The following is a 793-nucleotide window of genomic DNA, read 5'->3' as shown; positions in this document are numbered from 1 at the left end:
GAGAAAGCATTTGGCCTATTGAAGGAACCCTATCAAAACTCTTGAGAGGACTTACAGGCTGACATGTAAGATTGGAGAATCCAATGACTGATGTGCACAGATACTTTGATTGGAAAGCAGGTGCATCCTTCAGCGGGATTATAGGTATTGGGGCTCAGTTTATGAGGGTTAAATATGATCACCATTAGGAAATCTCATCTCCCAGATTCAGAATTAGAATTTTAGGGTACTTTTGTAGAGTTATTTGAAACAATTAGTGTATTGAAGTGTAATAACCTTGGCTAGACTGTTGAATATGATAGGAACCCAAGTGACTTGCCTCGTGTTTAAAGAAATAGTCCGGCAGGCATAGGAAAAAGTAATTTCAATCTTTACTTGTATCCCTTGAGGGATTAAACAAATATTCAGTTTATAACTTATAATACTACTTATTAAGATTTCCTTGCCTCTCCTTTCCAGAAGCTTCTTAGGGTTTGTCATTTTCTAAATCATCACAACTTTCTCCAACACCTGGGATACTTTTTTTCTCTCTTCCTCACTTCCTGCTTTCTTCAGCACATTATTAATCAGATAAACTTGGGCTTTTTGTTTTATTTTGCTTTCTTTCCCCAGGGACTATTTTCCTGAATTTTCCACAATATAGGAAAGGCCAGGAACTGATCCAGTAAGATTACGACCCCACCCCCATAGATATTTAGGATATTTGAACATGTTTCAGTGTATAAGCCATGAGGAAAGCAACACACTCAGAATCTTGTCTAGAGGCCGTGCCTTTTGGTGATTTTATATGTCA

Source organism: Homo sapiens, chromosome 6 (assembly GCF_000001405.40).
Source record: "Homo sapiens chromosome 6, GRCh38.p14 Primary Assembly".
Taxonomy (NCBI): Eukaryota; Metazoa; Chordata; class Mammalia; order Primates; family Hominidae; genus Homo; species Homo sapiens.
Note: the sequence above shows the minus strand (reverse complement) of the source record.